This window comes from Homo sapiens, chromosome 19 (assembly GCF_000001405.40).
Source record: "Homo sapiens chromosome 19, GRCh38.p14 Primary Assembly".
Classification (NCBI taxonomy): Eukaryota; Metazoa; Chordata; class Mammalia; order Primates; family Hominidae; genus Homo; species Homo sapiens.
This window is the reverse complement of record NC_000019.10, coordinates 36,734,462-36,752,253: the sequence shown is the minus strand read 5'-3', so window position 1 is coordinate 36,752,253 and position 17,792 is coordinate 36,734,462. Positions and strand designations below refer to the sequence as shown.

General features: G+C 40.5%; 1 protein-coding gene across 2 annotated transcripts in view; it reads left to right on the top strand.

The window, feature by feature from the left end:
• ZNF850 (zinc finger protein 850) overlaps positions 1-8,774 on the top strand; it is a 29,328-nt gene extending 20,554 nt beyond the window's left edge. For both annotated transcript variants that reach the window (NM_001267779.2, NM_001193552.2), the window contains one exon: positions 1,450-8,774. In NM_001267779.2, coding sequence (NP_001254708.1) covers positions 1,450-4,487 — 3,038 coding nt within the window. In that variant the 3' untranslated portion in view covers positions 4,488-8,774. The remainder of the gene's footprint in view (positions 1-1,449) is intronic.
• Positions 8,775-17,792: the final 9,018 nt, after the last annotated feature.

Genomic DNA, 17,792 nt, shown 5'->3' with positions numbered 1-17,792 from the left:
TAGTAAGAAATGGTATTTAGAGACAGTAATCTGTCATTAGCGTGTTCATTGCTGCCAGATTGGTTGTTTCTAAGGCTTCAATGGATGAAGATGTATAGTATTTTTTAAAAATCATGATTGCACTCTTATACTGCCAATTCAAATTCATTCATTGAATTTTAAGTTTCAATGATTCATTTTTTAATTTTTAGATACTGATACCCCATTTGTGTCTTTTACAAAAATTTGCTTGGCCTTTTTGCTAGTGAGATGTTACTTTCTCACTTTAAAAAAGTAAACTTTAGGTTTTAGGATAGTTTTAGACTTACAGAAAAGTTGTGAGGTTAGTACAGAGACTTCCCATATACATCACATGTAGTTTCCCATTAACATTTTATATTTGTACATTTGTCATAATTAATGAATGAATGTTGATCCTATTAAATAATAACATTGTTGAAGCAATGTTGTTATTATTATTTACCTTTCCTATGGTGCTGAGATCTATTATTATTAATGGAAACCCCTACTTTACTCAGATTTCCTTAGCTTTTTTTTTTTTTTTTTTTTTTTTTTGAGATGGAGTCTGGTTTTTGTTGCCTAGGCTGGAGTGCAATGGTACGATCTTGGCTCACTGCAACCTCAGCCTCCCGGGCTCAAGTGATTCTCCTGTCTCAGCCTCCCGAGTAGCTGAGATTACAGGCATGGGCCACACGTCTGGCTCATTTTTGTATTTTTAATAGAGACAGGGTTTCACCATGTTGGCCAGGCTGGTCTTGAACTCCTGACCTTGTGGTCCGCCCGCTTCAGCCTCCCAAAGTGCTGGGATTATAGGTGTGAGCCACTGTGCCTGGCCTCCTTAGCTTTTACCTAATGTCCTTTTTTCCTATTCTAGGATCTTGGCTAGGCTAACACATTGCATTGAGTCATTATGTTTCCCTTGGCTCCTCTTTGCTTTGACAGCTTTTCAGGCTTTCCTTGTTTGTGATTATCTCAATAGTTTTGGAGAGTACTGGCCAGGTATTTCATAGATTGTCTCTCATTTTGGGATTTGTCTGGTGTTTTTCCAGTGATTAGACTGGAGTTCAGTATTTTTAGAAGGAAGATCACAGAGATAAAATACTGTTCTCATCACATCATATAAGGGTACATACTATCACCATGTATACCATGTATGTACACCATCTTTTTTTTTTTTTTTTTTTTTTTAAGACAGGGTCTTGCTCTGTGGCCCAGGCTGGAGTGTAGTGGCACAATCACAGCTCACTGCAGCCTTGAACTCCTGGGCTCAAGCAATCCTCCTGTCTCAGACTCCCAAAGCGCTGGGATTACAGGCATGAGCCACCACGCCCAACACATCTTTAATTCTTAAGGACATTATTTTCAGTTTGTCTCCCCTTTCTACCATAGATGTTTTTATTTCTACTCAACAAGGAAATGCTATGTTTTTGCTTTCTGGTTATTTTTCAGACTCGGAGTTTAGATGTAAGACCAAAGATTCATGTTTGCCAAAAGAAATCTATGAAGTAACATCATCTCAGTGGGTGAGAATGGAAAAATGTCATAGCCTTGTGGGCTCCAGTGTCAGAGATGACTGGGAATGCAAAGGCCAGTTTCAGCACCAAGATATAAATCAGGAGCGATATTTGGAAAAAGCAATAATGACTTATGAAACAACACCAACTTTCTGCCTACAGACATCTCTCACTCTGCATCATCGGATTCATCCTGGAGAGAAACTGTATAAATCCACAGAATGTATGGCTTTTAAGTATGGCTCAGAACTTACACAACAGCAAGAAACCCATACTGGTGAAAAACTCTATAAATGTAAGGAGTGTGGGAAGGCCTTTCATCACTTTTCCTATCTTGTTAAACATCAGAGAATTCATACTGGGGAAAAGCCCTGTGCATGTAAAGAATATGGAAAAGCTTTTATTTCTGGCTCACATCTTATTCAACACCAGAAAATGTATACAGATGAGAGACCTCATGAGTGTCAGGAATCCGTGAAGGCCTTTAGACCGTCTGCACATCTTATTCAACATTGGAGAATTCATACTGGTGACAAACCTTATGAATGTAAAGAATGTGGGAAATCTTTTACTTCTGGCTCAACACTAAATCAACATCAGCAAATTCACACTGGTGAGAAACCCTATCATTGTAAGCAATGTGGAAAATCTTTTACTGTTGGCTCAACACTAATTCGACACCAGCAAATTCACACTGGTGAGAAACCGTATGATTGTAAGGAATGTGGAAAATCTTTTGCTTCAGGCTCAGCACTAATTCGACATCAGCGAATTCACACTGGTGAGAAACCCTATGACTGTAAGGAATGTGGAAAATCTTTTACTTTTCACTCAGCTCTAATTCGACATCAGCGAATTCACACTGGTGAGAAACCCTATGATTGTAAGGAATGTGGGAAATCTTTTACTTTTCGCTCAGGGTTAATTGGACACCAGGCAATTCACACTGGTGAGAAACCCTATGATTGTAAAGAATGTGGAAAATCTTTTACTGCTGGCTCAACACTAATTCAACATCAGCGAATTCACACTGGTGAGAAACCCTATGATTGTAAGGAGTGTGGGAAATCTTTTGCTTCGGGCTCAGCACTACTTCAACATCAGCGGATTCACACTGGTGAGAAACCCTATTGTTGTAAGGAATGTGGAAAATCTTTTACTTTTCGCTCAACACGCAATCGACACCAGCGAATCCACACTGGTGAGAAACCCTATAATTGTAAAGAATGTGGAAAATCTTTTGCTTCTGGCTCAGCACTACTTCAACATCAGCGAATTCACACTGGTGAGAAACCCTATCATTGTAAGGAATGTGGAAAATCTTTTACTTTTCGCTCAGGGCTAATTGGACATCAGGCAGTTCACACTGGTGAGAAACCCTATGATTGTAAAGAATGTGGAAAATCTTTTACTTCTCGCTCAGCACTAATTCAACATCAGCGAATTCACACTGGTGAGAAACCCTATCACTGTAAGGAATGTGGAAAATCTTTTACTGTTGGCTCAACACTACTTCAACATCAGCAAATTCACACTGGTGAGAAACCTTATGATTGTAAGGAATGTGGGAAGGCCTTTAGACTTCGTTTACGACTTACTCAACATCAACAAATCCATACTGGTGAGAAACCTTATCAATGTCAGGAATGTGGGAAAGCCTTTGTCAGTGTCTCAGGACTCACCCAACATCACAGAATTCACACTGGTGAGAAACCCTATGAATGTCCGGACTGTGGGAAGGCCTTTAGACAGCGTACATACCTTAATCAACATCGGAGAATTCATACTGGTGAGAAACCTTATGAATGTAAAGAATGTGGGAAATCTTTTACTTTCTGCTCAGGACTAATTCAACATCAGCAAAATCACACTGATGAGAAACCCTATGATGGTAAGGAATGTGGGAAATCTTTTACTTCTCACTCAACACTAATTCAACATCAGCAAATTCACACTGGTGAGAAACCCTATGATTGTAAGGAATGTGGGAAATCTTTTACTTCTCACTCAACACTAATTCAACATCAGCAAATACACACTGGTGAGAAGCTCTATGATTGTAAGGAATGTGGGAAATCTTTTACTTCTCATTCAACACTAATTCAACATCAGCCACTTCACACTGGTGAGAAACCTTATCATTGCAAGGAATGTGGGAAATCTTTTACTCTTCGCTCAGCACTAATTCAACATCGGCCAGTTCACACTGGTGAGAAACGCTACAGTTGTAAAGAATGTGGGAAATCTTTTACTTCTCGCTCAACACTAATTGAACATCAGCGAATTCACACTGGTGAGAAACCCTATCATTGTAAGGAATGTGGAAAATCTTTTGCTTTTCGCTCAGCAATAATCCAACATCGGCGAATTCACACTGGTGAGAAACCCTATGATTGTAAGGAATGTGGCAAGGCCTTTAGACGTCGTTCAAAACTTACTCAACATCAACGAATCCATACTGGTGAGAAACCTTATCGATGTCATGAATGTGGAAAAGCCTTTGTCCGTTTCTCAGGACTCACCAAACATCACAGTATTCACACTGGCGAGAAACCCTATGAATGTAAGACATGTGGGAAGTCCTTCAGACAGCGTACACACCTTACTCTACATCAGAGAATTCATACCGGTGACAGACCTTATGAATGTAAAGAATGTGGGAAATCTTTTACTTGCGGCTCAGAACTAATTCGACATCAGCGAACTCACACTGGTGAGAAACCTTATGATTGTAAGGAATGTGGGAAGGCCTTTAGATGTCCTTCACAACTTAGTCAACATAAACGAATCCATACTGGTGAGAAAACTTATCAATGTCCGGAATGTGGGAAAGCCTTTTTCTATGCCTCAGGACTCAGCCGACATCAGAGTGTTCACACTGGCGAGAAACCCTATGAATGTAAGACATGTGGGAAGGCCTTTAAACAGCTTACACAGCTTACTCGACATCAGAGAATTCATGACCTAACATAATTAATGTAGGAAACTGTTCTCATGCCATTTGTCATGGATCATCAGCAGATTCCATATGTGGGTCAAATACAATGGATGTGTATTACTTCATATTCACTTTTTCCAGAATTACGACTTTTTTTTTTTTTTTTGAGACGGAGTCTTGCTCTGTCGCCCAGGCTGGAGTGCAGTGGCGCTATCTCGGCTCACTGCAAGCTCTGCCTCCTGGGTTCATGCCATTCTCCTGCCTCAGCCTCCCTAGTAGCTGGGACTACAGGTACCTGCCACCACGCCTGGCTAATTTTTTTGTTTTTGTATTTTTAGTAGAGACAGGGTTTCACTGTGTTAGCCAGGATGGTCTCGATCTCCTGACCTGGTGATCCACCCACCAAAATTAGGACATTTAATACTGAAAGAAATTGATAATGAATGTAGATGAGTTTTCTATCATGATTCAAAGCTTATTGAAGTTATACAAATTCATATTAGAGAATGTGGTCAATGACAAAAGACAACCATTTACTACCTACGTGACATTAGGCTAGTTATGTAAATTCTCTGTGCCAAAATTACTAATTGATAAAATGTTGATGGCAATAGTTGTTTTTGTGTATTTTTTGTTTGTTTGTTTTGTTTTGAGACAGAGTCTTGCTCTGTTGCCCAGGCTGGAGTGCAGTGGTGCTATCTTGGCTCACTGCAACCTCTGCCTCCTGGGTTCAAGTGATTCTCCTGCCTCTGCCTCCTGAGTAGCTCAGATTACAGGCATGCACCACCATGCTTGGCTAATTTTTGTATTTTTAGTAGAGACGGGGTTTCACTGTGTTGGTCAGGGTGGTCTCAAACTTTTGACCTCGTGATCCCCCTACCTCGGCCTCCCAAAGTGCTGGGATTACAGGTGTGAGCCACCACGCCTGGCTAGTAATAGTTTTTTTATAATAAATAAGTGTGACTATATTTTTCATGTTTGACTACTGACTTTGTTTTAAGCTTCGCCTTCCCTGTCTATTTCCCTGTCTACTTTAGCCCATAACTGCAAAGGTGGCTAAGAAAGTCCTTGCTGGAAAGAAAGCAAGCAAAACTAAAGTCTGTGCGCACCTTCTCCTTTGGATCCAGTGGGCAATTTATATTAGAAATTCCAAGCCGGGCGTGGTGGCTCACGCCTGTAATGCCAGCACTTTCGGAGGCTGAGGTGGGTGGATCACCTGAGGTTAAGAGTTCAAGACCAGCCTGGCCAACATGTTGAAACCCCATCTCTACTAAAAATACAAAATCAGCCAGACATGGTGGCATATGCCTGTAATCCCAGCTATTCAGGAGGCAAGGCTGGAGAATCGCTTGAACCTGGGAGGCGGATGTTGCAGTGAGCCAGTCAGTGGAGCAGTCAGAACACACACAGTGTTTATCAATTAAGTTTGTAGTCAGAACACACACCATGTTTATCAATTAAGTTTGCTGTCTTATATGGACACAGTTTGTGATGCCCTAAAACAAGTAGTGGTGCCTAAGATAATCATAGGCCACCATAACAGATATAACAACAATGAGAAAGTTGAAATATTGTTGGGATCATCCAAATATGACACAGATACAAAGTGAGCACATGCTGGTGAATAAATGGAGCCAATAGACTTGTTCACTGCATGGTTACGTCAGAGGCGTGTAAACCAGAGCAACTTCTTCTTGAATAGGAGCTGTGTAAAGTAACACTGAAACCTACTGGACTGCATTCCTAGACAGATAAGTCATTCTAAGTCACAAGATGAGATATGAGGTCAGCATAAGATACAGGTCATAAAGACCTTGCTGAGAAAACATCTTGCAGTAAAGAAGTCGGCCAAATCCAAGATGGTGACAAGAGTGACCTCTGGTCGTCCTCACTGCTATACTCCCAGCAGCACCATGACACCCAGCTAAGTTTTTATTTTTTATTTCAGTAGAGTTGGAGTCTTGCTTTGTTACCCAGGCTGGTCTTGAATTCCTGTCTTCAAGCAATCTTCCCACCTTATGAATATAAAGAATGGCCCACCTTGTCCTCTCAAAGTGCTGGGATTACAATCATGAGCCACTGCACCTGGGACTTTCTTTTTCTTTTTTCTTTTTTTTTTTTTTGAGATGGAGTTTTGCTCTTGTTGCCCAGGCTGGAGTGCAATGGCACGATCTTGGCTCACTGCAACCTCCGCCTCCCAGGTTCAAGCGATTCTCTTGACTCAGCCTCCTGAGTAACTGGGATTACAGGCATGCTCCACCATGCCCGACTAATTTTTGTATTATTTAGTAGAGACGGGGTTTCTCCATGTTGGTCAGGCTGGTCTCTGAACTCTGGGCAGGACTAATTTAGATAAGGTAGTCAGGAAAGGCATTTCTTACAAGGTGGTATTTGCATGAATGTAGACATATGGTTGCATTTTATTATATGTAAATTACACTTCAATAAAGTTGATGAAAAAAATCTTACCTCATCGTCTATGCACTTCGGATTGTTGTATTTCATTCTATTTAAATTACACTTGCGTTTAAAAAATTTAACACTTCTCTAAAACATATCTGTTGATTTGTACTTTTACTAATATGCTTATGGATGATTTATATACACACACACACACACACATATCTTTTAAGAAGGTTATTTTAAGGTTAATCAATTGAGGCTTTGTCTCAATTGATTTTTTTTGAGACAGTCTCGTTCTGTCGCCCAGGCTGGAGTGCAGTGGCGTGATCTCGACTCACTGCAAGCTCCACCTCCCAGGTTCACGCCATTCTCCTGCCTCAGCCTCCCTAGTAGCTGTGACTACAGGTGCCCGCCACCACGCCTGGCTAATTTTTTGTATTTGTAGTAGAGACGGAATTTCACCATGTTAGCCAGGATGGTCTCAATCTCCTGACCTCATGACCCGCCCACCTCGGCCTCCCAAAGTGCTGGGATTACAGGCGTGAGCCACCCCGCCCGGCTCAATTGATTCTTTTGTCTCAATTTGTAGTCAGTTGAGGTTTGTCTCAATTTATGGAAACAAATCAAATGTTTGTTCTCAAATTCTTACTCTGTCATTTATTATTCTCCATGTTTTTGTAACTGCTTCCTTGGAGATATTTAAACATAAATATATACAGAGAGGGTGAAGATGGAGGAGTGCTTTTTACAGTTCACAGTTGTCTTTTTCATGTGTGACAGGTTTTTGCTGTGTTGCCCAGGCTGGAGTGCAATGCCACAATCTTGGCTCACTGCAGCCTCAACTTCCCGGGCTCAATCGATCCCCCACCTCAGCCTCCCGAGTAGCAAGGACTACAGGCGCACACCACCACACCTAGCTAATTTTTGTATCTTTTGTAGAGACAGGGTTTCACCATGTTGTCCAGGCTGGTCTTGAACTCTTGGGCTCAATTGGTCCTAGCACCTCAGCCTCCTAGGTGCTGGGATTACAGGTGTGAGCCACTGTGTTCAGCCAATACTCTTAACGTTTTTACTTTTCACTTTTAAAAATTAACTCTTTTTATGAAAAAAGTAGAATTTTTTAAAGAGCAGAGAAAAGCACAATGAAGACAGAAAGATCACCTGTATATTCTTATTGACCAAAGATGATCTATTTGGGGTAAATCCTTTTTTTTTTTTTTGAGACGGGAGTTTTGCTATTGTTGCCCAGGCTGGAGTGCAATGGCACGATCTCGGCTTACCGCAACCTCTGCCTCCCAGGTTTAAACAATTCTCCTGCCTCAGCCTCCTGAGTAGCTGGGATTACAGGCATGCACCACCACGCCCGGCTAATTTTGTATTTTTAATAGAGACAGGGTTTCTCCATGTTGAGGCTGGGCTTGAACTCCAGACCTCAGGTGATCTGACTGCCTCGGCCTCCCAAAGTGCTGGGATTACAGGCAGGATCCACGTGCCCGGCCGGTAAATCCTTTTAATAGAGGAGTTTCAATATTTCTCCTCTGCCATAGTATTAGAAAGAAAAGAATCATTATTGACATCTTTACGACATTGAGTTTTTCTCTTGTACCTGGTGTGTCTTTATTTCAGTAGGTATTCTTTTATGTGCTTTAGTAAGTCTTTATATTTTTAGCATAAAAGTGTACACATTTCTTGTTTTACTTATTTCTAGATACTTAATGGCTTTTGTTTATAATATGATTGGGATATTTTTTCTGTTGTGTAATTGATTACTATTACTATGTACTAAACTGTTGGTTTTTGTCTAAGGATTGTAACATTGATGAACTACTTTAGTAGATGAAATGGTTTCTTCATGAGATTGAATTGTCTAAAGAGATGTTGGTATTATTTGTAAATAAAAGTATTTGCCTATTCCTTTCTATATGCCTTATTTCTTAATTTATACTTGTAGCTTGGATCATATGTGTAATATGAATGTCTACAGCACTAACTAGTTTCCTCACTTGACCCTTTCTTTAAGTGAGGTTTTTTTTTTTTTTGGTGTTTTTTTTTTTTGAGACAGGGTCTCACTCTGTCACCAGGCTTGAGGGCAGTGGCATGATCACTGCTCACTGCAGCCCCAACCTCCCAGGCTCAATCAGTCCTTCCACCTCAGCCTCCCAAGTACCTGGGACTACAGGTGTGCACTGCCATGCCCGGCTCATTTTTGTATTTGCAGAGATGGGGTTTTGCCGTGTTGTCGAGGCCACTGTCGAACTTCTGGGCTCAAGCCATCTGCCGTCCTTGGCCTCCTGAAGTGCTGGGATTACAGGTGTGAGCCATTGTTCCTGGCCAAGGAAATATTTTTAATGTTCGCCATTAAGGATGATTGCTGTACGTTTATGGTTTTGTTAATTAAAACAATTTTTAGCTGGGCATGGTGGCTCACACCTGTAATCCCAGCACTTTGGGAAGCCGAGGTGGGTGGACCATTTGAGATCAGGAGTTCAAGAACAGCCTGGCCACCATGGTGAAACCCCACCTCTACTAAAAATACAAAAATTAGCCAGACATGGTGGTGGGCGCCTGTAATCCCAGCTACTTGGGATGCTGAGGCAGGAGAATCGCTTGAACCCAGGAGGTGGAGGTTGCAGTGAACCAAGATCTCGCCACTGCACTCCAGCCTGGGTGACAGAGCAAGACTGTCTCAAAAAACAAAAACAAATTTTAATAAAGGAACTATGTCAAGCTATAAATAAAACCACTTGGGCCTATATTTAGCCAGAGATTGTATCTTCCACTATTCAAAGACAAGACCTCAAGACTTGTTATATTTTTGTTAAGTTGGTTGAGGTATAATTTACATAGATTACAATTCATACTTTGAAATGAACAACTTGATTAATGTTGATATCGGTATTTGTTTAGCTACCATCACAATCATAGAGGATGTTTCCATCATCCCAAAAAGTCCCCTCATGTCCCTTTGCAGTCGGTCCTTCCCTCCCTGCTTATTCACAGCTTGCTTCAACTGCAGATCTGCTTCTTCTTTTTTTTTTTTTTTTGAGATGGAATTTTGGTCTTGTTGCCCAGGGTAGAGTGCAATGGCGCGAACTTGGCTTACCGCAACCTCCGCCTCCCAGGTTCAAGTGATTCTCCTGCCTCAGCCTCCCAAGTAGCTGGGATTACAGGCATGCGCCACCACACCTGGCTAATTTTGTATTTTTAACAGAGATGGGTTTTCTCCATGTTGGTCAGGCTGGTCTGGAACTCCCAACCTCCGGTGATCTGCCTGCTTCGGCCTCTGAAAGTGCTGGGATTACAAGCGTGAGCTGCCACGCCCAGCCAGATCTGCTTTTTATAACTGTAGGTTTTGTTTTTGTTTTTGAGGCGGAGTTTCACTCTCGTTTTCCAGGCTGGAGTGCAATGGCACAATCTCAGCTTACTGCAACCTCTGCCTCTTGGTTTCAAGCGATTCTCCTGCCTCAGCCTCCCAAGTAGCTGGGATTACAAGTAAGTGCCACCATGCCCAGCTAATTTTGTACTTTAGAGACGGGGTTTCACCATGTTGGCCAGGCTGGTCTCAAACTCCTGATCTCAGGTGATCCACCCGCCTCGGCCCTCCAAAGTGCTGGGATTACAGGCATGAGCCACTGCACCCAGCCTGTAGTTTTGATGTCCACACTTTCACTTCTGACATTGGCAATTTGTGTGTTCTCTCTCTCTTTCGATCAGTCTGCTTAGAGGTTTATCAATTTTATTGATCTTCTCAAAAAACCAATTAATATTTTGTTCAAAATTTTTATTGTAAAATACATATAAAATTAACCATCTTAACTATTTTTAAGTGTACAGTCAGTACTAAGTACATTCATAATGTACAACCAACGTCCATCTCCAGAACCCTTTTCATTTTGTAAAAGTGAAACTGTAAGCCTTTCTAACAACACTTCCCATTTCCCCAATCTCCTAACCTCTGGTGACTACTGTTCTATTTCCTGTATGTATAAATGTGAATGTTCTAAGTACCTCACAAAAGTGGAATCACAGAATATTTCTCCTTTTAAAATTAGTCTTGTGTCTACTTGTTCTATCAGTGATAGGGGAGTGTTGAAATATCTAACTATAATTGTGTATTTCTCTATATCTTTTTCAGTTTTATCTGTTTTTAATCTGTGCATTTTGGAGCTCTGTTATCATGTACTTACACATTCAGGATTGTTTTTCCCATTTATCATTATAAAATTCCCTCTTTGTTCCTTGTAACAGTCCTTATTCTGAAGTCTACTTTGTCTGATATTAATATAGCCATGATTGGTGGTTGCATGGTATAGCTCTTCCCATCATTTTTTTTACTTTTAAACTATCTAGGTGTTTAAATTTAAAGTGGGTGTCTTGTAGACAATGTATAGTTTTAGTTTGGTGTTTTGCTGTTATTGTTGTTGTTTTGAGACACGGTTTTGCTCTGTCACCGAGGCTGGACAGCAGTGGTGCAGTCACAACTCACTGCTGCCTCAACCTCCTGGGCTCAAGCAATCCTTGTGCCTCAGCCTCCCCAGTAGCTAGCACTACAGGCACGTGCCATGAGGCCTGGCTGTGTTCTTACATTTTTATACAATCTGACAATCTCTGTCTTTAGTTGGAGTGTTTAGGTCAGGGAATGGCAAACTATGGTTCCCAGGATAAATCCAGCCTGTCACCTGTTTTATATATAAAGCTTTGTTGGAATACAACAAATGCTCATTTGTTTACATGTTTTAAATTGCTTTTCTGCTACAACTAAGGGGTTGAATGATTTGACAGAGACTCTGTGGGTCCAGAAAACTTGTATTTACACTCTGGCCCTTTATTGATAAAGTTTTCTGATCCCTGGTTTAGATTATTAACATCTCAAGTAAGTATCAGTATGGTTAGATTTAGTTCCACTAGCTTGCCATTTGTTTTGTCCTAACTGTTGTTTGTTCCTTCTTTTTTTTTTTTTTTTTTTTTTTTTTGAGGTGGAATCTTGCTTTGTCACCAGGCTGGAGTGCAGTGGGGTGATCTCGCCTCACTTCAACCTCCAACTCCCGGTTTCAAGCAATTCTCCTGCCTCAGCCTCCCAAGATGGGATTACAGGTGCACGCAACCATGGCCAGCTAATTTTTTGTATTTTTAGTAGGGATGGGGTTTCACCATGTTGGCCAGGATGGTCTTGATATCCTGACCTCATGATCTGCCTGCCTCAGCCTCTCAAAGTGCCGGGATTACAGGCGTGAGCCACCATGCCTGGCCTTTTCCTTTCTTCTTTACAATTGTTTTTTATGATTCCATTTTATCTCTACTATGGTTTATTAGTTATACCTCTTTGTTTTTATATTTTTTAGGATTTGCTCTAATGTCTATAATATACATGTATTCTTTATGTATTATGTTCTTTTTTGGGGGGTGGCAGTGGGGGGAGTGTTACTCTGTCACCCAGGCTCTGAAGTGCAGTGGCATGATCTTGGCTCACTGCAACCTCTGCCTCCCGGGCTCAAGCAATTCTCCTGCTTTAGCCTCCCAAGTAGCTGGGACTACAGGCATGTGCCACTGTATCCTGCTAATTTTTTGTAGACACAGGGTTTCATCATGTTGCCCAGGCTGGTCTTGAACTCCTGAGCTCAAGTGATCCACCTGCCTCAGTCTCCTAAAGTGCTGGGATTACAGGCGTGAGTGAGCCACCACACCTGGCCTTATCATGTTCTTTTTTTTCACAAATATTTTATTTTTGAAATTGACATAGAAAAATTGTACGCATTTGTGGGGAACATAGTGATGTTTTGGTACACATAACATATAGTCAGCAGATCAGGGTAATTATTAATAGTATAACCACCACTTCAAACATCTTTTTTGTTGTTGGGAATATTCAGTATACTCCTTCTTGCTATTTGGCTGTGGTTTTTTTAAATCTTTTTTCTTTTCTTTTTTTTGAGACAGAGTGTTGCTCTGTTGCCCAGGCTGGAGTGCAATGGCAACATCTCAGCTCACTGCAACCTCCGCTACCCAGGTTCAAGCGATTCTCTTGCCTCAGCCTCCCAAGTGGCTGGGATTACAGGCACACACCACCATGCCCAGCTAATTTTTTGTATTTTTAGTAGAGACGAGGTTTCGCCATGTTGGTAAAGCTGGTCTCAAACTCCTGACCTCAGGTGATACACCTGCCTTGGCCTCCCAAAGTGCTGGGATTACAGGCATGAGCCACCGTGCCCGGCCTTAAAATCTTTTTTAATTTTTTTTAATTTGTAACTTTTGTGGGTACATAGTAAGTGTATATATTTATAGGGTATATGAGATGTTTTGATACAGGAATGCAGTGCATAATAATCACATCATGGAGAATGGGGTATCCATCCTCTCAGGCATTTATCTTTTGTGTTACAAATAATCCAATTATACTCTTTTAGGTATTTTTAAATGTAAAATTACTTTATTATTGAGTATAGTCACCCCGTTGTGTTATCAAATAGTAGGTCTTATTCATTCTTTTTTTACCCATTAACCCTCATCACTTCCCCCATGACTTTTCTCAGCCTCCATTAACCATCCTTCTACTCTGTCTGTCTGTGAGTTCAATTGTTCTGATTTTCAGATTCCACAAATAAGTGAGAACCTGTGATGTTTGCCATTCTGTGCCTGGCTTACTTCACTTAACATAATGATCTCAAATTCCATCCATGTTGTTGCAAATGACAGGATCTCATTCTTTTTTTATGGCTGAATATTATTCCCTCATGTACACAAACTACATTTTCTTTATCCATTCATCTGCTGATGGACACTGAGGTTGCTTCCAAATCTTGGCTATTGTGGACAGTGCTGCAGCAAACATGGAGTGCAGTTGTCTTTTTGATATACTGATTTCCTTTCTTTTGGGTATATGCCCAGCAGTGGGATTGCTGGATCATATGATAGTTCTATTTTTAGTTTTTTGAGGGACCTCCAAACTGTTTTCCATAGTAGCTATACTAGTTTATATTCCTACCAACAGCATATAAGGGTTCCCTTTTCTTTGCGTCCTTGCCAGCATTTGTTATTTTTTTGTCCTTCTGATAATAGCTGTCCTAATTGGGGTGAGATGATATCTCTTTGTAGTTTTGATTTGCATTTCTCTGATGATTAGTGATATTGAGATTTTTTTCATATACCCATTGGCCATTTGTATGTCTTCTTTTGAGAAATGTCTGTTCAGATCTTTTGCCCATTTTTTTTAATTGGGTTTTTTTTTTTTTTGCTATTGAGTTGTCTGAGCTCCTTATATGTTCTTATATATTCTCATATATATAATTATATAAGAGAATACTAATCCCCTGTCAGATGGGTTGTTTGCAAATATTTTCTCCCGTCTTGTGGGTGGTCTCTTCATGTTATTGATTGTTTCCTTTGCTGCACAGAAACTTTATTTTGATGTAATCTCAGTTGTCTGACTGAATTCATTTTTCAGTTCTAACAGTTTTTTGGTGGAGTCTTGCTTTTGTTGCCTGTGCTTTTATGGTCTTATATAAAAAAGTCTTTGTGTAGACCAATGTCTGTGAGTGTTTCCCCAATATTTTCTTCTAGTAGCAGGTCTTACATTTTGACTTGATTTTTGTGTATGGTAAAGATAGAGGTCTAGTTTCATTCTTCTGCATGTAATTATCCAAATTTCCCAGCACCATTTATGAAAAAAACGTTCCTTTCCCCATTGTATATTCTTGGCACCTTTGTCAAAGATTATTTGGTTGTAAATGTATGGATTGATATTTGGGTTCTCTAGTCTATGACATTGGTCTGTGTCTGTTTTTATGCCAGTACTATGCTGATTTGGTTACTATAGGTTTGTAGAAAATTTAAGTCAGGTAATATGATGTCTCCAGCTTTGTTCTTTTTGCTCAGAATTCCTTTGGCTACTCAGGGTCTTTTGTGGTTCTACATACATTTTAGGATTTTTTTCCTATTTCTATGAAGAATGTCATTGGCATTTTGATAGAGATCATATTGAATCTATAAATTGCTTTGAGTAGTATTGTCATTTTAATTATTCTAATCCATGAGCATGGAATATCTTCCCCTTTTTTGTGTGTCATCTTCTACTTCTTTCATCAGTTTTTCATAGTTTTCCTCATATACATCTTTCACTTCTTTGGTTAACTTGATTCCTAGGTATTTTCTATACTTTGTAGCTATTTTCTATTCTTTGTAGCTTCTTAAGTGTGATTGCTTTCCTTGATTTCTTTTTTCAGGTTATTTGCTGTTAGTGTATATTAAATGTTATGATTTTGATATGTTGATTTTGTATCCTGCAACATTACTGAATTCATTTTTCAGTTCTAACGGTTTTTTGGTGGAGTCTTTAGGTTATTAAGTATATAAGATCATGTCTTCTGCAGAATTTGACTTCTTTTTCAATTTGGACGCCCTTTTTTTTCTTGCTTAATTGCTCTTGCCAGGATTTCCAGCACTATGTTGAATAAAGGTGGTAAAGGTGAGCATTTCTATCTTGTTTCAGATCTTAGAGAACATACCTTATTGCGGGATCTGGCCAGTAGCCTGCAATGCAACGGGGCTCTCTCTTTGTTCCCAGGCGGATCGGCAGGTTGAGAAATAATAGACACACACAAGATAGTGAAAGCTGGGTCCAGGGGGGTCACCACCTTCTGGTCCCGCGGTGCCAACAATGCACTGGATATACCAGCATTTATTACTAAGTTTAATGAGGGCGGGGGTAGGTTAGTGAGGGATTTAGGGTCATTTGATTATGAGGTGAGATGGTCACATGGGGATGAAGTAATTCTTTAACATAACATCTGTATGCAGAAGTACAGTATACAGAGATAAGAATTTACAATAGTGTGCATCAGTAATTTCTAACAGAGCCTTAAAACAGAAACGCAGTCTCCATAACCTATGATTAGCAAGATATTAATCAGCAGTAACAGTTGCAGCAAAAGCTGGTTACAAACAATCCATAGAAACAGGACGTGAAGCCAGACAACCGGTTAGACCAGAAATTCTCAGAAGGGAGTATGCCTTAACCCTAAAGAGACCTAGAAGAGCTGTGGCAAGATGAGGGCGTTTATAGCCCTATCTTATCCATATGAACAGGCGCCCCCATGCGTCCATTTATAGGCTCTCCACAAGGGTCGCATTCCATTCCCAGAGCTATGAACATCTGCTTTTCTGGGATAGGAATCTTGGTGATGTGAAACCTCCCTGACTGCACGTCCGTTTATAGGCTCTCTGCAGAGGAAAGCACATCACGTGCTGTTGGCTCATTCTGGCAGTCCAACTTGGCATTGTTTTTACACAATCCTGCATGCAACTTTGTATTTACAATAATCAGGAGCATTTCATCTTTTATTCCATAGCAATAGTTTCATGGGGTCTCCCTACTATACCTTTAATTTTTCCCCACTCAGTACAATGTTAGCTGTAAGTCTGTCATATATGGCCTTTATTATCTAGAGGTATGTTCCTTCTATACCCACTTTGATGAGGGTTTTTATCATAAACGGATGTTGAATTTTATCAAATGCTTTTTCAGCATCTATTCAAATAATCATGTGGTTTTTCTTTTTGATTCTGTGAATGTGATGTACCACATTTATTGATTTGTGTATGTTGAGCCATCCTTGCATCCCTGGGATGAATTTCATTTGATCAAGGTGAATGATTTTTTTTTTTTTTTTTTTTTTTTTGAGACAGAGTCTTGCTCTGTTCCCCAGGCTGGAGTGCAGTGGCACGATCTCAGCTCACTGCAACCTCTGCCTTCCAGGTTCAAGTGATTCTCCTGCCTCAGCCTCCCCAGCAGCTAGGATTACAGGTACATGCCACCGTGCCCAGCTAATTTTTTTGTTTTTTAGTAGAGACAAGGTTTCACCATGTTGACCAGACTGGTTTTGAACTCCTGACCTCAAGTGATCCACCCGCCTCGGCCACCCAAAGTGCTGGGATTACAGGCGTGAGCCACCACGCCCGGCCAGTAAATGATCTTTTAAATGTGTTGCTGAATTCAGTTTGCTATTATTTTCTTAAGGATTTTTGCATCTTTCTTCATCAGTGAAGATGTCGTTTTCTTTCTTTGTTGTACTCATGTCTGATTTTGGTATCAGAGTTATGCTGGCCCTCCTCTTCAATTTTTGTGAAGAGTTTCAGTAGAATTGGTACTAGTTCTTCTTTAAATGTTTGATTCAGCAGTGAAGCCATAAGGTCCTGGGCTTTTCTTCAATGGTAGACATTTTATTATGGCTTCAATCTGTGGTATGTCTCCAAGAGTTTATCCATTTCTTCTGGGTTTTCCAACTTGTTGCCATATAGTTGTTCATGATTGTCTCTGATGATTCTTTGTGGTCTGTTATTATGTGTCCTTTTATTAAGAAAAACAAACTGGATCTCTCCCTCTGTGGCCCAGGCTGGAGTGCGGTGGCACAATCATAGCTCACTGCAGTCTTGAACTCCTGGGCTGGAAGGATCCTCTCGACTCAGCCTCCCAAGTAGCTGGAACTATAGGCGTGCACCACCATGCCTGGCTAATTTTTTAGAGATGGGACTAATTTTGTAGAGATGGGGTCTTACTGCATTGCCTAGGCTCAGGTGCTCCTCTTGCCTTGGCCTCCCAAAGTGCTGGGATTACAGATATAAGCCACCATGCCCAACAACCTTCTTCATTTCTGATTTTATTTACTTGGATCTTTTTTTTCTTCTTAGTCTACCTAAAGGTTTGTTGACTTTATCTTTTCAAAGAATCAACTTTTTATTTCACTGATCTACTGCATTTTCTTTTTTCTTTCTTTTTTTAGATGGAGTTTTGCTCTTGTTCCCCAGGCTGGAGTACAATGGCGCGATATCAGCTCACCCCAACCTCTGCCTCTGGCATTCGAGCAATTCTCCTGCCTCAGCCTCCCAAGTAGCTGGGATTACAGGCATGTGCCACAACACCCAGCTAATTTTCATATTTTTAG